Below are 19,357 nucleotides of genomic sequence, written 5' to 3'. Positions count from 1 at the left end.
TGGATGCTGGGTCTACTTGGTGGACTGTCTGTGCCTTGGATACTGGGTCTGCTTGGTGGTCTGTCTGTCTGTGTCTTGGATGCTGGGTCTACTTGGTGGTCTGTCTGTGCCTTGGATACTGGGTCTGCTTGGTGGTCTGTCTGTCTGTGTCTTGGATGCTGGGTCTGCTTGGTGGTCTGTCTGTGCCTTGGATACTGGATCTGTTTGGTGGTCTGTCTGTCTGTGTCTTGGATGCTGGGTCTGCTTGGTGGTCTGTTTGTCTGTCTGTGTCTTAATACTGGGTCCTCTTGGAGGTCTGTGTGTCTGTGTCTTGATACTGGGCCCGCTTTGAGGTCTGTTGTCTGTGTCTTGGATGCTGGGTCTGTTTGGTGGTCTGTCTGTCTGTGTCTTGGATGCTGGGTCTACTTGGTGGTCTGTCTGTGCCTTGGATACTGGATCTGTTTGGTGGTCTGTCTGTCTGTGTCTTGGATGCTGGGTCTGCTTGGTGGTCTGTCTGTCTGTGCCTTGGATACTGGATCTGTTTAGCGGTCTGTCTGTCTGCTGTGCCTTGGATGCTGGGTCTGCTTGGTCGTCTGTTTGTCTGTGTCTTGGATGCTGGGTCGGCTTGGTGGTCTGTCTGTCTGTCTGTCTGTGTCTTGGATACTGGATCTGTTTGGTGGTCTGTCTGTCTGTGTCTTGGATGCTGGGTCTGCTTGGTTGTCTCTCTGTCTGTCTGTCTGTCTGTGTCTTGGATGCTGGGTCTGCTTGGTGGTCTGTCTGTGTCTTGGATGCTGGGTCTACTTGGTGGTCTGTCTGTGCCTTGGATACTGGATCCGTTTGGTGGTCTGTCTGTCTGTGTCTTGGATGCTTGGTCTGTTTGGTGGTCTGTCTGTCTGTGTCTTGGATGTTGGATCTGTTTGGTGGTCTGTCTGTCTGTGTCTCAGATGCTGGGTCTGCTTGGTGGTCTGTCTGTCTGTGTCTTGGATGCTGGGTCTGCTTGGTGGTCTGTCTGTCTGTGCCTTGGATACTGGATCTGTTTAGTGGTCTGTCTGTCTGTCTGTGTCTTGGATGCTGGGTGTGCTTGGTGGTCTGTCTGTCTGTCTGTGCCTTGGATGCTGGATCTGTTTGGTGGTCTGTCTGTGTCTTGGATGCTTGGTCTGCTTGGTGGTCTGTCTGTCTGTGTCTTGGATGTTGGATCTGTTTGGTGGTCTGTCTGTCTGTGTCTCAGATGCTGGGTCTGCTTGGTGGTCTGTCTGTCTGTGTCTTGGATGCTGGGTCTGCTTGGTGGTCTGTCTGTCTGTGCCTTGGATACTGGATCTGTTTAGTGGTCTGTCTGTCTGTCTGTGTCTTGGATGCTGGGTGTGCTTGGTGGTCTGTCTGTCTGTCTGTCTGTGCCTTGGATGCTGGATCTGTTTGGTGGTCTGTCTGTGTCTTGGATGCTTGGTCTGCTTGGTGGTCTGTCTGTCTGTGTCTTGGATGCTGGGTCTGCTTGGTAGTCTGTCTGTCTGTCTGTCTGTGTCTTGGATGCTGGGTCTGCTTGGTAGTCTGTCTGTCTGTCTGTCTGTCTGTGTCTGGATGCTGGGTCCGCTTGGTGGTCTGTCTGTGTTTTGGATGCTGGGTCTGCTTGGTAGTCTGTCTGTCTGTCTGTCTGTCTGTGTCTGGATGCTGGGTCCGCTTGGTGGTCTGTCTGTGTTTTGGATGCTGGGTCTGCTTGGTAGTCTGTCTGTCTGTCTGTCTGTCTGTCTGTGTCTTGGATGCTGGGTCTGCTTGGTAGTCTGCCTGTCTGTCTGTGTCTTGGATGCTGGGTCTGCTTGGTAGTCTGTCTGTCTGTGTCTTGGATGCTGGGTCCACTTGGTGGTCTGTCTGTGTCTTGGATGCTGGGTCTGCTTGGTGGTCTGTCTGTCTGTGCTTTGGATACTGGATCTGTTCGGTGGTCTGTCTGTGTCTTGGATGCTAGGTCCACTTGGTGGTCTGTCTGTCTGTGTCTTTTAGTCCCTCGACTGCTTGGTCCATCTGCTGATTTGTTGCTCAGCTCGTGGCTTGGTGTGACTGCCAGTTTTCTGGCCATCCTCCCCTGCCTGCTCCTCCTCTCCCTGACTCTGGGTCTCTCTCTGTCTGTCTGTGTCTCTCACATCCTCAGCTCCTCCATCTGTCGGTCTCAGCATTTCCGAGTGTGTGTTCTCGCCCCTCCCCACTCCCCCTCACAGTTCTGGGCCAAACACACAGCAGCTTCCAGTGGCTCCCCCGCTGCCTCTCCATCCAGGAACCACCCTCATGCTGGCTAGCTCCCTAGTCTCAATGCGGGCCAGGGTCTGCAGATCCCTACAGAGTGAACAGGGTGGGGCTGGGAGGCAGATGGGAGAGCCAGGACTGATGGGCAGGGGTAGGACATCCCCCCAGCTGAGCCCATAGTTAGTCTGTAGGTCTGCAGGGGGACAGTGTGCAGTGGTTACTAATAAGGATAACAGCTCACACTTACTGAGTCCCAGCTGGATGACAGGCTGTGCTGAGACTTTTTATACATATGAACGTATCCATCCCTCTTAACAAATCTTCGAAGCAGGGACTACCATTATCCTTATTTCACAGATGAGAAACAGACCTAGAAAGGGACCAGGACTCGTCCCAAGTCACACAGCAAGTTAGTGCCAGATCTAGGACTCAGCCCTGGCTCTTCATGGCCTCCTGAGCCAGAGCAGGGATGAGGAAGGACAAGTCTCATCCCACGGGATTCCCCTGTTGCCTCGGCTGCCTACGTGGCAGCTTCCCTCGCCTGGAAGGTGTGCAGTACGGCTGCCCAGCAGGATCCTGATAGGACCCCGGTAAGACACAATGGACCTCAGGTTTCACTTGGGATTATATGGGTTTAGAGAAAACTGGGAGACAGGCAACAATAGTAAGTGAAGAGTCAGGAGACCAAGGTGATTCCAGGAAAGCCCAGCTCCTCGATGGGCCTCAATCTTCTTCTATAAAATGGGCCCAAGCCCAAGTAACTGATTCTTGTCTACACCAAGGGATGTTCATCAAGCCCCTCCCCACCCATCCAACTCTGATAACATTAATGTTCCACAGCTATGTCCTGAACCCAAGTCCTTCTCTCTACCCTGGTGTCAACACCCTGGTCCAAGCCACCTCATTCCGGCAGCTTCCCTGGGGTGCTTGCTTCCATCCTTGCCCTCTTCAAGCCTTGTCTTCACACAACAGCAGGGGGATCTTGTAAACTCCTAGGTAAGGGCAGGCCACTCCCCACTACTTGTTTTTTTTTTTGAAATGGAGTCTCACTCTTGTCACCCAGGCTGGAATGCAGTGGCATGATCTTGGCTCACTGCAACCTCCACGTCCCGGGTTCAGGTGATTTTCGTGCCTCAGCCTCCCAAGTAGATGGGATTACGGGTGTGCGCCACCACGCCTGGCTAATTTTTGTTTTTTAGTAGAGACAGGGTTTCACCATGTTGGTCAGGCTGGTCTCAAACTCTTGACCTCAAGGGATCCACTTGACTCGGCCTCCCAAGTGCTGGGAGTGAACCACTGTGCCTGTCCACTCCCCGCTATTTATTTATTTATTTATTTATTTATTTATTGAGACAGAGTCTTGCTCTGTCACCCAGGCTGGAGTGCAATAGCACGATCTTGGCTCACTGCAACCTCTGCCTCCTGGGTTCAAGCAATTCTCCCTGCCTCAGCCTTCCAAGTAGCTGGGATTACAAGTGCCTGCCACCATGCCTGGCTAATTTTTGTATTTTTAGTAGAGACAGGGTTTTGCCCTATTGGCCAGGATGGTCTCGAACTCCTGACCTCAGGTGATCCGCCTGCCTCGGCCTCCCAAACTGCTAGGATTACAGGCATAAGCCACCGTGCCCGGCCCCCACTACTTTTAAAATTAACTCTTCACCATGACCCTTGAGGTCCAGGAGGACACAACCTTTGTCCCTCCCGGGGACCCTCTCCCACCACCCTCCCTCTCTCCCATGCTCCAGCTCCTGCTTCCTGAACACACCAAGCTCACTCCAACCCCAGGGCCTCTGCCTAGAAAGGTCCTCACTAACGCCTGTCAAACTCTCATTCTCCCATCTCAGCTCAATGTCACCTCTTCAGAGAGCTTTCCCAGCCATCCCCCTCACCACTGCCTGTAACCCCGCAAAGCACTTCTGCAGCCTCTCTGGTCACTTTCTGTCATGTTACCCTGTTTTTTTAAGTAACACACATCACAACCTGAAACCATCTCATTTACTTGTTTACATATTTATTGCCTGTCTTTCCCCTAGCACTGCAGGCTCCATGAGAGTGGGGACCATGTTTATGGTGTCCTCTGCTACATGCCCAGTGCCTGGCACATCGTTAATGTACAGTCATTTGTTGAGTGAGTGAATGAATGAAGAGAGTGATTATACTTTATAAACTCTGCTTTGTAAACTTCTTAAGTAAAAGTGGCCAAGAACAGAGGGAAAGAACCCAGGTGAAAGAGTCAGGCCTGGGCTCAGATCCTAGCTCCATCTCTTACTGACTATGTAGCCCCAGACAAGTTGCCTCCCGTCTCTGGACCCATCAGCCCAATACCCATTTACAGGGTGGCTGTGAAATCAGAAAGTAGTAATGTGTGTAAAACGCCCAGCTCAGTGTTGGGCACTTGATCAATGGAAGGTTTCAAGGAGCTTTTTGAATCAGAGGCCCCATCAGTAAGAAGGAAGTTTGGTTTCTGGCACAGCTGAGACCCACTTCTAGGCTGGCTTTCCCCTGGTGCTCGTTGAACCTGTCCCCGAGGGACACTGGGTCAGAAAGCACCTTTGGGACAGGTTCACAGGGCAAGTATTCTTTGGGGTCTCTGCCTGCCCCCCAGAAAATAACTACCACTCATCAAATACCTTTTATATGTACTTCGCTAAAATCTTCACTGTGGTCCTGTGAGGTTCATGGACATAATCTCCATTTTCCAGATGAGGAAACTTAGTGTCAGAAAAGGGAAGGTTCATTTGACATTTATTCACCAAGCCTTTTTTTTTTTTTTTTTTGAGACAGAGTCTCTCTGTCGCCTGGGCTGGAGTGTAGTGGCTCGATCTCAGCTCACTGCAACCTCCACCTCCTGGATTCAAGTGATTCTCTTGCCTCAGCCTCCCGAGTAGCTGGGATTACAGGCATGCGCCACCACACCCCAGCTGATTTGTGTATTTTTAGTAGAGACAGGGTTTCGCCATGTCAGCCAGGCTGGTCTCGAACTCCTGACCTCAGGTGATCCACCCACCTCAGCCTCCCAAACTACTGGGATTACATGCATGAGCCACCATGCCCAGTCCACCAAGCACTTTTGAGTACCTTCTATGTACCCCAAACTGTGCTAAAATGGCTCGTGGACACAATGGTGTGCAAGACAGACCCAACCCACTGGTGGAACTCAGTTTAATGGGGACCTGAAGATTAACTAAATCATCAAGTAAACATGTAACAACAAGCATGTTCCATGGGCTCCAGAAATGCTCCAAACAGAGGTCCCTGCTTCAGCACTGTGGATGGCAGTGCTATTGGAGGACAGCCAGGCCCAGCTTGGGAAGGGTGTGGCAGTCAGGGAAGGCTTTCTAGAGGAGGTGACTACTGAGCCACGATCTGAAGCAGACATAGGAGTTAACCAGGTAAAGGAGGCAGGGAAGGTAGCCTCTGGCTGAGGAAACAACATAGGCAAAAGTCCTGAAGTGGGAGGGAGCAGTAAGTGGTCAGAATGGCTGCCGTCAGAGAAGGAGGGAGAAGAAAGGGAAGAAAGCACGACACGAAGTGGAGACGTGAACCATGGTATTTGGCCTTTATCTTTTGTTTTTTCTTTGTTTGTTTGTTGGTTTGTTTGTTTTTAGACAGAGTCTCACTCTGTTGCCCAGGCTGCAGTGCAGTGGCACGATTTCGGCTCACTGCAACCTCTACCTCCCAGGTTCAGGCGATTCTCCTGCCTCAGCCTCCCGAGTAGCTGGGATTACAGATACATGCCACCACACCTGGCTAATTTTTGTATTTTTAGTAGAGACGGGGTTTTGCCATGTTGGCCAGGCTGATCTCAAAATCCTGACCTCAGGTGATCCACCCATCTCAGCCTCCCAAAGGGCTGGGATTACAGGCGTGAGCCACTGTGACTGGCTGGTCTTTATCTTTTTTATTGTTGTTGTTGTTTTTGAGACAGGGTCTTGCTCTGTTGCCCAAGCTGGAGTGCAGTGGCGCCATCTCAGCTCGCCGCAACCCCTGCCCTCTGGGTTCAAGTGATTCTTCTGCCTCAGGGGCATCCCAAGTAGCTGGGACTTCAGGCGTGGGCAACTGCACCCAGCTGATTTTTGTATTTTTTTTTTTTTTGTAGAGACAGGGTTTCACCATGTTGATGGGGCTATTCTCAAACTCCTGACCTCAAGTGATCACCTCCCTGTGCCTCCCAAAGTGCTAGGATTACAGGCATGAGCCACAGCACCTGGCCATTTTTTTTTTTTTTTTTTGAGACAGGGTCTCACTCTGTTACCCAGGCTGGAGTGCAGTGATGAGAGCACAGCTCATTGCGGCCTCGACCTCCTGGGCTCAAGCAATCCTCCCACCTCAGCCCCCTGAGTAGCTGGGAACATAGGCATATACCACCATGCCAGGATATATTTTTTTAAATTTTTAGTAGAGATAAGGTCTCTCTACGTTGCCCAGGCTGGTCTCGAACTCCTGAGCTCAGGCAATTCTCCTGCCTTGGCCTCCCAAAGTGCTGGGATTACAGGTGTGAACCATCATGCCCGGCCTGGTCTTTATCTTAAGAGTGATGGAGAGCCACAGGAAGGTTTTAAACAGGAAAGTGACAAGATTAGATACCACTTCTGCATGTCAGAGGAAGCATCCTGGCTGTGGGGAACAGATTGCAGGAGGGCAAGAGTGAAAGACAGGAGACCAGTTGCCAGGTGAGAGGTAAGGATGGCCCGGACACAGGGGAATAGAGTCTAGAGCCATTAGAGAAATGACTTGCCCAAGGTCACATGGCCAGAAAGCATCAGAGTTGCATCCCAAACCAGGGCTGGCCAACTCCCCCATTTCACCGTGGGGCATGGGAACCCAAATCTGGTCTATGGGTTCTCTAGGAAACATTGGGTTCCCAGCTATATAGCCTCCTCACCTGCAATGAAGCCCAGAAACTTTTGCGGGGGGTTGGGGGGATGGCCCTGAGGCCCCCTCCCCATCTGCCTACCCCTTAACGTTGAGTGCTCCTGCAAGAATACAAAATAGGACCTTCCTGGGGTTGTCAGCCAAATGAGTCATAAATGTCAGTAAAGAATGTGATTTTACACGTTTGGCTCCCATTTCATGTGGTGCTGGGAGCTGGAGCTGGGCTGTCTCCCTCCTCCTTAGCAGCCCCCTACAGAGTCACAGCACCTCTTTTTTTTTTTTTTTTTTTTCTGGGCTAAAGCCAAACATTTCCCAGCCACTAATTTTAGGCCCTAACTGAGAAGCTGAGACCCTCTCCCATCCCACTCACCCTCATCAGCTCCCAGCCAGCGTCCCTCTTTTGCACAGCAGAGGAATGGGCAGCCCCTCTTCAGCAAAGCATTTGGGGACTAGGTTCTGGCCTCCCACATCCCTCACTGTATGAATGCAGCCAGCTCTCCTCTCCTCTCTGGACCTCAGTTTCCCCATCTGTGAAATGGGTGCAGAGAAGAGACTAAAACCCAGGACCCCATACTCTAGCCCAAGGCCTTTTGTTCCCCCTTTCTCTCTTTGCTTGATATCCTCATGTGGATTTGGTATGTCATAAGCCAGTGGGGGAGGGGGTTAGATTCCATCCTCCCGATGGCATCTGAAGGTATCACGGGACCAAGGCAGGGAGAAAACATCACTTGTATCTGCCCCTAGTCTGGGTGTGAGATTCTACATGGTAGCCAGGGTCTCAAATGCCAATGCTTAAAGGGGCTCAGCTGCTATCATTATGAGGGACTGGGGAACTATGTGGCCTGTCTACAGAGGCAGCCACCTGTCAGTTCCAGCCAACTGATGCCCTGGGAGAATATGAGCCCAACATGGCTGGAGTTTCAATTTTTCAAGAATAGGTGGATATTAGGATATTTATGCAAAAAGAAAAACAAGGGGAAAATCTCAATTTGGAAATGTTCACAATAAATTAAAGAAATACCATATGAATTTTTAAGAAATTAGGCTGGTGTAGTGGCTTATGCCTGTGATCCCAGCACTTTGGGAGGCCAAGGTGGGAGGATCTCTTGAGCCCAAGAGTTCCAGGCTTCAGTAAGCCATGACTGTGGCACTGCATTCTTGCCTGGGTGGCAGAGTGAAACCTTCTCTTTAAAAAAAAAAGAAAAAGAAAAGAAAAAAAGAAATCATAATTCCATTTTGTAGGTGTGATAGCAGTATTACATATTTTAACAATTTTTTTTTTTTTTTGAGACAGAGTCTCACTCTGTCGCCCAGGCTGGAGTACAGTGGTGTGATCTCAGCTCACTGCAACCTCCGCCTCCCAGGTTCAAGCAATTCTCCTGCCTCAGCCTCCTGAGTAGCTGGGACTACAGGCGTGTGCCACCATGCCCAGCTAATTTTTGTATTTTTAGTAGAGACAGGGTTTCACCATGTTGGCCAGGCTGGTCTTGAACTCCTGACCTCAAGTGATCTTCCCACCTCGGCCTCCCAAAGTGCTGGGATTACAGGCATGAGCCACCATGCCCAGCAACTTAGCGATGTTTTTGAAGTCTATCTTTTTAGAGATGTTTGAAATTTGCTTGAAAATAACACGGAAGGGAAGGAAATGGGGTGGGGCCTGCAACTATGCTCTCTAACACCTACATGTTCAATGCTTGCCATGTATGATTATTTAGATTTTGATTAATTACAAGTAAATAATTACAAGTAAAGAGTTTAAAATTTAGTTCCTCAGTCATACCGGCCACATGCCAAGTGCTCTATAGTGGCTACTATATTGGATAGTGCAGATATAGGACATTTTCATGACTGCAGAAAGTTCTACTGGATGGTGCTGCCCTAGATAAAACAAGGTTGGCCAGGAATCAATAATTGTTGAAGAGAGGTGGTAGGGGATCATTATCCCATTTCCTCAACTTTTTCAAGTGTTTAAATTTTTCTGCAATAAAAGGTTTTAATAAAAAGTAAGAGAAGAACCAGCACAGTGGCTCACGCCTGCAATCCCAGCACTTTGGGAGGCCAAGGCAGGAGGAACACTTGAGCCCAGGAGTTCAAGACCAGCCTGGGCAATATAGTGAGACCCTGCCCCTACAAAAAAATTGTCTTAAAATTAGCTGGGCATGGTGGTGTGTACCTGTAGTCCTAGCTACTCAGGAGGCTGAGGCAGGAGGATCGCTTGAGTCTGGGAGGCGGAGGCTAGAGTGAACTGAGATCGTGCCACTGCACTTCAGCCTAGGCAACAGAGCGTGACCATCTCAAAAAGCAAAAAAAATAAAAAAAAAAAGTAGGAGAAAAAAGTCCTTTGCGGACCAAACCAACACTCTTGAGGCTGGATTTGCCCATAGGCCACTGATTTGCAACCTGTGGTCTGGTGGTTAAACATCATGGAAGCGAGTATCATAAAGTCCCAAGGATAGAGCTACAGACACAGAACTAAGGGGCTTTAGAGATCATCTAGTTTATCCTCCAGACTGAAGCAAGAGTCCCTGATACAGCATCCCTGCCAAAGTTAGCCACTTCCATCTGGACACCTCTGCTGATGTGGAGTTCACACCCTCGGGAACAGCCTGATTGACAGTGTGTTCTTGCTTCTATTCCAAAGACTGTGCCTCCCTTTACTTTGAGTTCGCATCTGCCCTCACAGTATCTCTGGAGCCATAGAACAACTCTCCTTCCTCGATAGGGGGTCAGTGGGTGAGAGTTAGGACCCCTTATGCCCCTGTCCTAACCCCATCTTGTTACTAAGCAAGTAGGATGGGCTGTGACTTGGGCCAATAATAATAGTCATTGTAGTAGATGTTTTCTGGGCATATACTATGTGACAAGCCCTGTGCATTTACATTATCTCAAGACATCCTTATAAAAACCTTAAGATGTGGATACTATCACTATCCCCATTTCACAGATGAGACAGGAGCTGTGGCTGGTGGAGCAACTTCCCCAGGGTCACGCAACTAGGATGTCATGGCTCCTTGATCTGCGCTGGTGCCCCAAGCTCTCAGCTACTCTGCTTTCTTGTCCAAGTCCTAGGAAAACTCACCAGAATTCTGAAGTTACTTTACAGATGGAGTAACTGAACCCTAGGTGCGAAGTGACTTGTCCAAGATTCTGATCTCAAAGGTTCAATCCAGTTCACACCAACATTTATTGAGTACCTACTGCATACAAGGAACTTGACTTCCTCCATCTCCTAAGTCAGCCACAACTGTATCATTCTGGGAACCCAACCCAGGGTTGTTCCTACTACCTCCTCTTTCCTTAGCCTTAGGCCGTGGACAGTTTTAAAGGCTGTGGATGTAGGCCTAACAGACCTCAGTGCTGTGTCCACAACTGCAGAAAGCTCGCACATTCAGCACCCTGCCAAATGCCAGCTTCAACTGGCTTCATGTTGCAAGAACCCACCATAGACCTCACTAGAGCTGGCTGGGTGCAAGACCACCAACAGTAACAGAGGATCTAATCTGTGCTAGTCACCATGGGAGACAGAAAGAAAAAGCAACAAAGCCTCAACTCCCCAGGGGTTTGTGATCCAGCGGGAAAGCCAGCCAGGTGGGTAGATGATCACAACAAAATGTGATCAGTGCTGTGGGGTAAAAAGGAATGAGTAATTGTGCCTGGGGAGGAAGTCTGAGGGGAAGAACCCAGAATGTTAACAGTGGGGACTTTACATTAAAATACAAATTTAAAAATACTTTTCTGGCCTGGTGTGGTGGCTCACGCCTGTAATCCCAGCACTTTGGGAGGCCGAGGCAGGTGGATCGCCTGAGGTCAGAAGTTCGAGACCAGTCTGGCCAATATGGTGAAACCCCGTTTCTACTAAAAATACAAAAATTAGCTGGGTGTGGGGGTGGGCACATGTAATCCCAGCTACTCGGGAGGCTGAGGCAGGAGAATCGCTTGAACCGGGGAGGCAGAGGTTGCAGTGAGCCGAGATCGAGCCACTGCACTCCAGCCTGGGAGACAGAGCGAGACTCTGTCTCAAAAAAAATAAAAAAAAATAAAAATACTTTTCTGATATTTTTTCTTCTGCTTCTCTAAACAATACATGATTGATTGTTTGTAAGAATACACTTAACTAGCAGAAGACAGTATAGTTTGGTGGTTCCACATGTGGGTTTGGGAGCCTGACCTCATGGCTTCAAACCCTAGCTTTGCTCCTTATGAATTGGAAGGCCACTCTTCTCTGTGCCTCAATTTCCACATCTGTAAAATGGGGCCAATAATGCTAGCAAACACTAACTGAGCACCACTATGTGCTGAGTACTGTGCAGAGCACATATATATTAATTGAATCAGCCTTCACAATGGAGACCTGGGTAGGGATTGTTATGATGCCCATTTCACAGATGAGAAAGCTGAGGTCCAGAAAGGTTAAGTGACTTGCTCAAAGCCACACAGCTCATATGTGGCAGAGCCAGGGTTTTGGGTCTACAGTTCTCTTCTTCATCCTCGCAGTCTCTACCTGGCAGGATTGTCAAGAGAAATGATCGAATCTAAGTCTTAATAAACAGTAAGTATAATAAATTTCATTTTTATACTGATTTTTAAAAAATAGACAAATCTATACATGCATTTTTTTAGCTAACTGAAAACCAGAGGCAAAATCTTCAAGCAATGCAAGAAATATCTACTTAATAAGTGGAAATCTCCCCTGACCCCACCCCTCCCGCCCCAAGAGATAATGAGCAGAGGGGAATCTCTTTATGCCTTTTCTATATTGCCTGAGGTTTCAACAAGAATGTATAGCTTTTTGATCAACAGACAAAACAGCCAAACATTTTCCACTTTAGAACAATGACTTTTGCCTGGTTGAGTGAGTGGGAGGTGGTTTCTGGGGGGCAGAGGGTAGCATGTGTGGGATTTGTTCAGAGAAAGCTTCTTAGAAGAGGTGGCATTTGAGCTCAGCCTGGAAGGACGTGCAGAATTTCACTGGGAGGAGACTGGAAACTGGTGTTGGGTGTTGCTGGAGGAAGGACTGCAGGCAATGGAGAGCAAGGGGGTGGGGAGCAGGTTGTCATGTGGGTAGAGCAGGGAGGAAAGACAAAAGATCAGGGGGCAAAGGGCCTCAAAGCCAGGCTAAAGCACAGGGACTTGCTCTAGGGACATAGGGGAGCCATCGCTCTGCCTGCAGGTGGAGGCGGGATTGGGGGTTGGGGGTGATAACCGGAGGCTGATAGGATTTCCCAGGGGAGGAATTTGGATGCCCTAACAAAGGCAGGGTGGTGAACAGAGAGGCCAGAGAAGATCCCAACCATCCTCCCTCCTCTCCCCAGGGACCTGCGCCCCAGATGCTGGGTTCAAAGCCATTTCCTGGCAGCCCTCCGCCCTCCCACTCCCCAGAGCTTCTCCTGTGTGGTCTTTATAGATCAAACAGGGGACGCTGGGCCCAACCGCCGCCGCTGTGTCTGTTAGGAGCAGCTCTAATGGTCCATGGCAGCTGGATGGGCAAGGGGAGGAGGCAGGGTGGGGGTGGAGAGCCTCCTGGAGAGGGGTCTCCCAGGAGGTGAGTGGTGAGGCCCAAACTGGAACAACCCTACAAAGGCAGAGCAGGGAGGAACCTCATGGATGGTCACTGAGTTCAGGGGACTGTAATCAAGTGTCAGCTGTAGGACAGATTATTCAAAACAAAATCTTAGACATGTCATAAAAGAGACATTCAGAGATACTTGGGTTAAAATGATGGAGACAGGGCTATAAAACACAGTTTGAAAATGATGGAATCCAACCCCTGACCTGTTTTACAAATAACAATGTCTAATTATCATTGTTGAGAACTTCCTATGTTCCAGGCACTGTGCTGAACACTAAACATTATTTAATTTTCTACTACCTCAAGCACCATGCGATAGGTGCTATTATTAGAGTGTCCATTTAGCAGATGAGAAAATCAAGGCACAGACAAGTCATGCCACTTGCCCCAAATCACAGAAAGTGGCAGGTGCAGGATATGGCTGATTCCAGAGAGTGGATGCTGAACCATTAACTCTGGCCCCAGTGGAGAGACTGAGGACCAAAGAAGGAAAGAGGTCGCATTAGCTCAGCCTGAAGCAGACCCCCATCCCTGTTGCTACAGTTTGATCCAGTCTCCATTGTCTCTCTCCTGCATCTTTGTAGCAGCCTCCTCATGCATCTCCAGGCTTACTCTGCCTCCCTCCAGTCTATTCTCTCTCTTTTTTATGCTTTTTCTCTTGAGATGGAGTCTTGCTCTGTCACCCAGGCTGGAGTGCAGTGGCTCACTCTCGGCTCACTGCAACCTCCACCTGCCAGGTTCAAGCGATTCTCCTGCCTCCGCCTCCCGAGTAGCTGGGATTACAGGTGCGCACCACCATGCCCAGCTAATTTTTGTATTTTTAGTAGAGACCGGCTTTCACCATGTTGGCCAGGATGGTCTCGATCTCTTGACCTCGTGATCCGCCTGCCTCGGCCTCCCAAAGTGCTGGGATTACAAGCGTGAGCCACTGTGCCCGGCCCCTCCAGTCTATTCCCCACCCAGCAGCCAGAGTGGACATTGCAAAACACAAGTCAAGATCATGTTCCTTCTCTGGCCAAATTATCCTGGGCTCCCCGTGTCATGAAGAGTAAAAGCCCTAGTCCTTGCCATGGCCTCTGAGGCCCTGCATGACCTCGCCCCTGCCAATCTGTCCACCAGCATCTCCAAACATGCTCCCCTCACTCTATTTCTGCCACACAGGCCTTCTCCTTGCCCTTCCCTTTTCCTTTGCCTGCAAAACCCTCCCCAAGACCTCTACACAGCTTGTCCTCACCTCGTGCAGCCCTTTGCCCACATGCCACCTCCTTGGAGAGGTCCACCCTGACCACCCTATCTCAAAGAGCCACACCTCTCCCTGGCACTCCAGTAGCTCCCTGCCCTGTTTCATTTTTTTCCCCATAGCACTTATCACGATCTGGCCCAGGTATTATATATCCCATATAATATATATCATAGTTTATTTTCTTATTGGTTCCTTCATTAGGCTATTGAGCTCCAAGAGGGCAAGGACTTTGTCTTGTTCACCACTCTATTCCCAGCACTTAGAACAGTGCCTGGTATACAGCAGGTGCTTAATAAATGTCTGCTGAATGAATGACTGCAGATTAAATGAATGACTGCCATGTCATTATGGCTTCAAGGGACTTCAGGACCCCCTTGCTGTCCTGCCATGTGCTCCGTGAACAAAGCTTTGTTCCACAGGGAGCAAAGCCCAAGCTAATGCACTAATCATTGCCAGCAGTTTCTGAGCATTTAACGATGGAATGAGCCCTTTGCTGAACCCTTACACATTATCTCATTAAACCTTGAAACAACCTAAGAGGCGGGTGGGTACAATTTTGGTCCCTAGTTTACAACGGATGAGAGATTATTTGCCTTGTCAAGGTCACATATAAGAAGTAGTAAAGTCTGGATTTAAACTGAGGACACTTGAATCTAGAGTCCGTGCTCTCAACCCTCTCAACCGTTATGCCAAGAATGTAGTTTCCCAGAGGGGAAATCCAGAGCCTGACATTTCCTTCCAATAGGTCACTAACTCATTCCAGAACTTCTCTGTCATGCAGGGCTTCTTAGGTGACATAGAGTGCAGTGTCTGGGCCTATGCATAGAGAGGGCATTAGAGGGAGGGCCCCTAAATCCCAATTGCCTAATTTTCTCCCCATTTTGGGGTTCCCAGATCCCGAAAGCCTGGCAGGAATCCCATGTCAGATCGTCTCCCACTAATTGGCTTAGCAAACCATGCTTATCTGGGTGAAGCTGGGGCCCACTGAGCTCAAGATTAGGAAAAGCAGGATTCATGGCTTACTGCTCTGCTGCCTACAGGGTCAGAGGGGACAGGGTTAGGACTTTAATTAGCTTAAGAACCCTGGGCAGTTTAACAGCTCAGAGAGTTTAAAGGGAAGGGAGGGATGAAGTTGCAGGTTGGTGTCCAGGCCACAGCCAGCTTCGTGCCCCGCCAGAGGATCTGTTTGCTGTTCCCTCAGAGTTCAATCTCTCTGTGCACAAAGATATTGTTCTGGCATGTCCCAAAGTAGCCAGTGTGTGGTGTAAAAGATAGAGCTAGGTTTGGGACTGATCACCTTTCCTCACTTCCTCAGTGGGTGACTTTTGGACAAGGTTCCTTATCTGATAAATGGGTATATCAATAGTCACCAGGGGGGAGGGTTTCAGAGTAACATGAGATCACATGCCTGAAACACTCACACAGGGCCTGTGGGGACACGGTAGGTGTGCAGTGTCTGTGTATGCTTTCTCCTCCTCTCTCTCTTCAGAGCTTCATTTTATGTTTAAATTAGTAATAAAATCTTCTGTGTGAAAAGACCTTATCAATTTGAAGAGCTAAACCAGAGGTTACAAAGAAGACAGGCTAATAAATATGTTTCCTTTGGTTGACACTATTTTTAAACATTTTAATTAGTAGTTAAATTTTGGAGAGTTCACGGAAAAATCCCAATTTCCCATTTCTCTTGAGAAATCAAGACTGGGTCCACGATTTCTCATGGCATGATCAGCTGGAGCTTCCCTTTTCCTCGGACACTACTTGCCCCTGAATGTCCTCTTGTCTGACACCCCTTGTATCTTATGGTCTTATGGTCTGTTACCTGCCTGGGTCCTCAAAGCATTTGAATTTTTAATTCAGGATTTTACAAGTCTAAGAGGTTGAAAAATATCTTCATGATTATAATTATTTTATTCAGAATTGAGGAAATGGGATCAGGAGGTGAGTGACTGCCTAGCCTCCCAGGTGTGATTCTGGAGGACTCAATCACACATCTCCCTCTTCATTACCCCAGGCCCCACCACTCAGAACATCTGTGGGAACATCTCACGTGGTAAGCAAATGTGCTGGGCCAACATTGCTTAATTTCTAGGAATGCCAGCCCCTGCAGCTTCTCTATACCTTCTCTGGGTTTTCCCTCCATTTATCCAGGCCCTTAGCCATTTTAGAATCCAAAGATTTTGGGGGCAAGGGCCCAGAGGCTTTTGCTTTGGCAATAGACCCAGAGTCAGAATTTCAGGAATGGGAAACTCTTAAGGTCATCACATTGAATCTCATTTCACACACAGGGAAACCGAGACCCAAAGATGGAAAGAGCCTTGCCCAAGGTCACCCAGCAAACTATAGTTACAAACTAGGATAAAGATGTCAGCCTCCTGACCAGACCACCCCCGAATCCAGCCTTTTCCCCACAATACACACTGTTCCCGTCCTCACCCACATAGTTCAACTCCCTGCCCCTCTTTTCACATTCTTATCTCAGTGCAACAGAAGCCCTGACTTTCTATCATACTGGAATCTTGGAATCTCAGATTCATACTTCTTTAAGCTTGAGGGACACTTTAGTGGCAGAATTACAAGGTGGATAAATTGAACTCAGGCTTTAAAGGCAGAGAGCCTGGAGTCTCAGCTCTTCAAGTTCCTAGCTGTGTGACCTTGGACAAGGATGCCCCCTCTCTGAGCCTCCATTCCCTCATCTGTCAAGTAGAAATTATAATGCTAACCACATGACAGGATGATTAGAAGGGGTACAGGAAATAAAGCAGGTAAAAAGGCAACCAGTAGGCTTGGCACAAAGTCAGTGTTTAATAAAATAATTGTTATAGAACTGTAAATTAGGGCTTTCATGTCTAAGTGAAATAGTACAGATATGATCAAAGGGAAAGATGGACAAATTAGAGCACATAGACTCTTTCTAAATTGTTACAGGATTGATACTGCTAGATCCAATTTTTTTAAAGGGAAGCTACGACTCTGGGTTTTTAAAATACTATGCAAGCCACACAAAACACTTCCACAAGCCACATTCAACCTAAGAGCTATTAGATTGTTATCCCTACAAACTTATCTCATCCCAGCCTCCTCATTTTGCAAATGGGAGATAGTAGAAATAGCTAGTCCTTTTATCCATATCCAAGAAACCATAGAGCTGAGGGGATCCTTAGCAATTCTAGCTACTCCCCTGGGACCCCACACCCATGGCCATTTTTGCCCTATTTGAGGGAAACTCAGTTTATGCTTAACAAAGAAGAGAAGTATTAGTTTCTTGTAAGTGGATTCTGAATGGGGGGATAGCCAGTGAGTCGAGGGGCATCTGGCCCACTTTAGGCTGAAGGAAAAGGGGGATGAAGCTTCCTACCAAGAATAGGAAGTTACCATTTCAGAATCTAAAAATATCTTTCACCATCTGTCCACTCGGGCACAGAATGATAAATGCAGATTAGTTCCTGGATGTAGACATGAATATTTTTATGTGTCACGCTAATAATAATAACACCACCTTGTGTGGATAGAGCTCCGCCCCCTTTTCCTCCAGGATAAGCTAAGTGGAATATACACATCATCTTGGCAGGAATAGATAGGGAAACAAAGGCAGAGAGATTCGACAACACAACAAGAGTGACACAGCAAGTGAGCAGCTGGGACAAACCCTAGGAGTCCTGTTTTCAACCCTCAGCCCCAAACTGAATCTTCTGAGTTAGGCAGAATGTGTTAACAAGTAGCAGAATAAATATAACAACAGCAGTAATCACCCTTTATATCTCTAGAGTGACTTTTTCCATGCTTTCCCCACACTCTTAAAATGTTACAGTCTGCAGGGCCCTCATGCAGACCTCTCACCTGACCATCCCAACAGGTAAGAATAATGCAATGATAAGACAATGAGATAAGAGGAGTAGGGATTCTCCCTCATTTCACAGAAGAGGAAACTGAGGCTTGGAAGGAGGAGGGCGGCTTGCCTAAGATCATATAGTAAGCAAGTTCATTCTGTTAGAGCACAGAAGGGCCTAAGCTACTAAATAGCAATTCAGATTCAAGAGGAGCCCTAGGTTTAGAATTCCTCCTCTCTCCACTTAACTCAGTGCAGCAGGCACCCTCAGTTCTGGCAGAGGAAGAAGACTGAAAGTGGGCAGCTTGAACAAAGCCTCAGTTTTGCCTTACCAGTTCGGGATTAAAGGGCAGCCAGTGGCCATCTAATCTCAGATTCAAGATTCCAAATCCCCTTGGCCCTGTTGGAAGGGGAGGACCCTTAGCTGGGGGAGAGGGGGTCATAGGAAGTAGAAGGAGCCTGAGGGCTCCCCAGTTGGGTCCAGCATATCTTTCTCCAAAAAGTCCAAGAAGTTTAGGCGGGATATTCATTTAGCTGTCTCAAATTCTGTGACTCTCCTTGCAGGTTGTGAATGAGCTGCAATTCTGAACTGAGGATCTTTGCGAGCAGGAAAGGACTTCTGAGATCTTTCCTGAGCCCAGGCTTGGCACTCAGGCAGAGAGGAGTGGGTTATGGCAGAATAGGGCCCTGTGGTCCTGTTTTAAGCTTCACATTTATCTTCATGAGCCCCGGGTCCTCCCCACTCACGCACACCCCTGAGGATCTCTTTCTCTCCTTTCTTGAACCATCCCCTCCCCTCTCGAAGGCCAGGTCAGACCGGATGGCACTGGGGTTGGTCAGGGCTTGGGGGCAGAGGTCAGGGAGAAGCCGACTGAGAAGAAATTAGAGCTGCAATGGGGTGGGGAGGGGGGGAGGTCAGGACAGGAGGGTAGCCCGGAAAGGTCAGATCAGGGCTGGGACGTCAGGTAGCCCTTCGCCACCCCCACTCCTCGGGCTCAGGTCCCTCCACCTGCGCTTCTCCTACCTCCAGACCTGGCCGAGCTGCAGGAGGTGGACGAGGGTCTGCAGCAGCCAGATGCAGAGGCGGCAGCAGCGGCGGCGGTAGGCGCTGGCCGAGGAGGGCGCAGGCTGGGGACCCGGCTCGGGGCTGCCTTCTTTGGTCCGGAAGGCGCCGGCGCTGTCCTTGGTGCTGATGGCGGCTCCGCCGGCTACGCTGTCCTTGGTGCTGACGGCGGGTCCCGGGGACCCTGCGGGCTCCGAGTAGTCGTAGACGAACCAGCGGAAGCTCAGTAACTGCACGACCAGCGAGGGCAGGAGCACGAACAGCAAGGTGAGGCTGAAGTAGGTGTGTTGATTCTGCAGGTAGTAGGAGGCCGCCAGCCACAGGTCCGTGGCACCGTCGGAGAAGAACACGAGCAGCGCGCACAGCACCCAGCAGCAGTCCCGCAGCTCGTAGCGCGGCCCCGGGCCGCCCGCCCCGACGACCCCCGGGGGCCCGGCCGCCGCCGCCGCCTCCCCGCGCCCGCCGGCACTGCCCCGGGCTCCACCGGCAGCCCCCTCCGGGTCCGGGCTGGCCGAGGCCGCCGCTCCATCCGACTTCGCGGCCATGTTGGCGGAGAGGGAGGCGGGGAGC

General features: G+C 49.4%; 1 protein-coding gene across 1 annotated transcript in view, besides 5 other annotated features; it reads right to left on the bottom strand.

Moving 5' to 3' along the window:
- Nucleotides 1–19,357, bottom strand: part of XKR7 (XK related 7) — a 35,237-nt gene extending 15,880 nt beyond the window's left edge. The window contains exon 1 of the mRNA NM_001011718.2: nt 18,749–19,357. Within this exon, the coding sequence (NP_001011718.1) occupies nt 18,749–19,332 (584 nt within the window). The 5' untranslated portion in view covers nt 19,333–19,357. The remainder of the gene's footprint in view (nt 1–18,748) is intronic.
- Nucleotides 10,767–11,268: an enhancer, noted in NCBI's record as "H3K27ac hESC enhancer chr20:30564043-30564544 (GRCh37/hg19 assembly coordinates)". NCBI's record gives its function as "activates a minimal SCP1, AML or CMV promoter by ChIP-STARR-seq in primed H9 embryonic stem cells {active_cell/tissue: H9 hESC(primed)}" and the evidence as "EXISTENCE:reporter gene assay evidence [ECO:0000049][PMID:30033119]".
- Nucleotides 14,431–14,930: an enhancer, noted in NCBI's record as "H3K27ac hESC enhancer chr20:30560381-30560880 (GRCh37/hg19 assembly coordinates)". NCBI's record gives its function as "activates a minimal SCP1, AML or CMV promoter by ChIP-STARR-seq in naive H9 embryonic stem cells {active_cell/tissue: H9 hESC(naive)}" and the evidence as "EXISTENCE:reporter gene assay evidence [ECO:0000049][PMID:30033119]".
- Nucleotides 14,931–15,432: an enhancer, noted in NCBI's record as "H3K27ac hESC enhancer chr20:30559879-30560380 (GRCh37/hg19 assembly coordinates)". NCBI's record gives its function as "activates a minimal SCP1, AML or CMV promoter by ChIP-STARR-seq in naive H9 embryonic stem cells {active_cell/tissue: H9 hESC(naive)}" and the evidence as "EXISTENCE:reporter gene assay evidence [ECO:0000049][PMID:30033119]".
- Nucleotides 15,048–15,342: a silencer, noted in NCBI's record as "tiled region #5767; HepG2 Repressive non-DNase unmatched - State 22:ReprW, and K562 Repressive DNase matched - State 19:H4K20". NCBI's record gives its function as "represses a minimal TATA promoter and a strong SV40 promoter by Sharpr-MPRA in HepG2 and K562 cells {active_cell/tissue: HepG2 | K562}" and the evidence as "EXISTENCE:reporter gene assay evidence [ECO:0000049][PMID:27701403]".
- Nucleotides 18,907–19,084: a silencer, noted in NCBI's record as "fragment chr20:30556227-30556404 (GRCh37/hg19 assembly coordinates)". NCBI's record gives its function as "represses an EF-1alpha promoter that drives an FKBP-Casp9 reporter gene in an ReSE screen in both phorbol 12-myristate 13-acetate-treated (for megakaryocytic differentiation) and untreated K562 erythroleukemia cells {active_cell/tissue: K562 | K562(+PMA)}" and the evidence as "EXISTENCE:reporter gene assay evidence [ECO:0000049][PMID:32094911]".

Source organism: Homo sapiens, chromosome 20, assembly GCF_000001405.40.
Source record: "Homo sapiens chromosome 20, GRCh38.p14 Primary Assembly".
Taxonomy (NCBI): Eukaryota; Metazoa; Chordata; class Mammalia; order Primates; family Hominidae; genus Homo; species Homo sapiens.
Note: the sequence above shows the minus strand (reverse complement) of the source record. Positions and strands in the feature narration are given on the sequence as shown.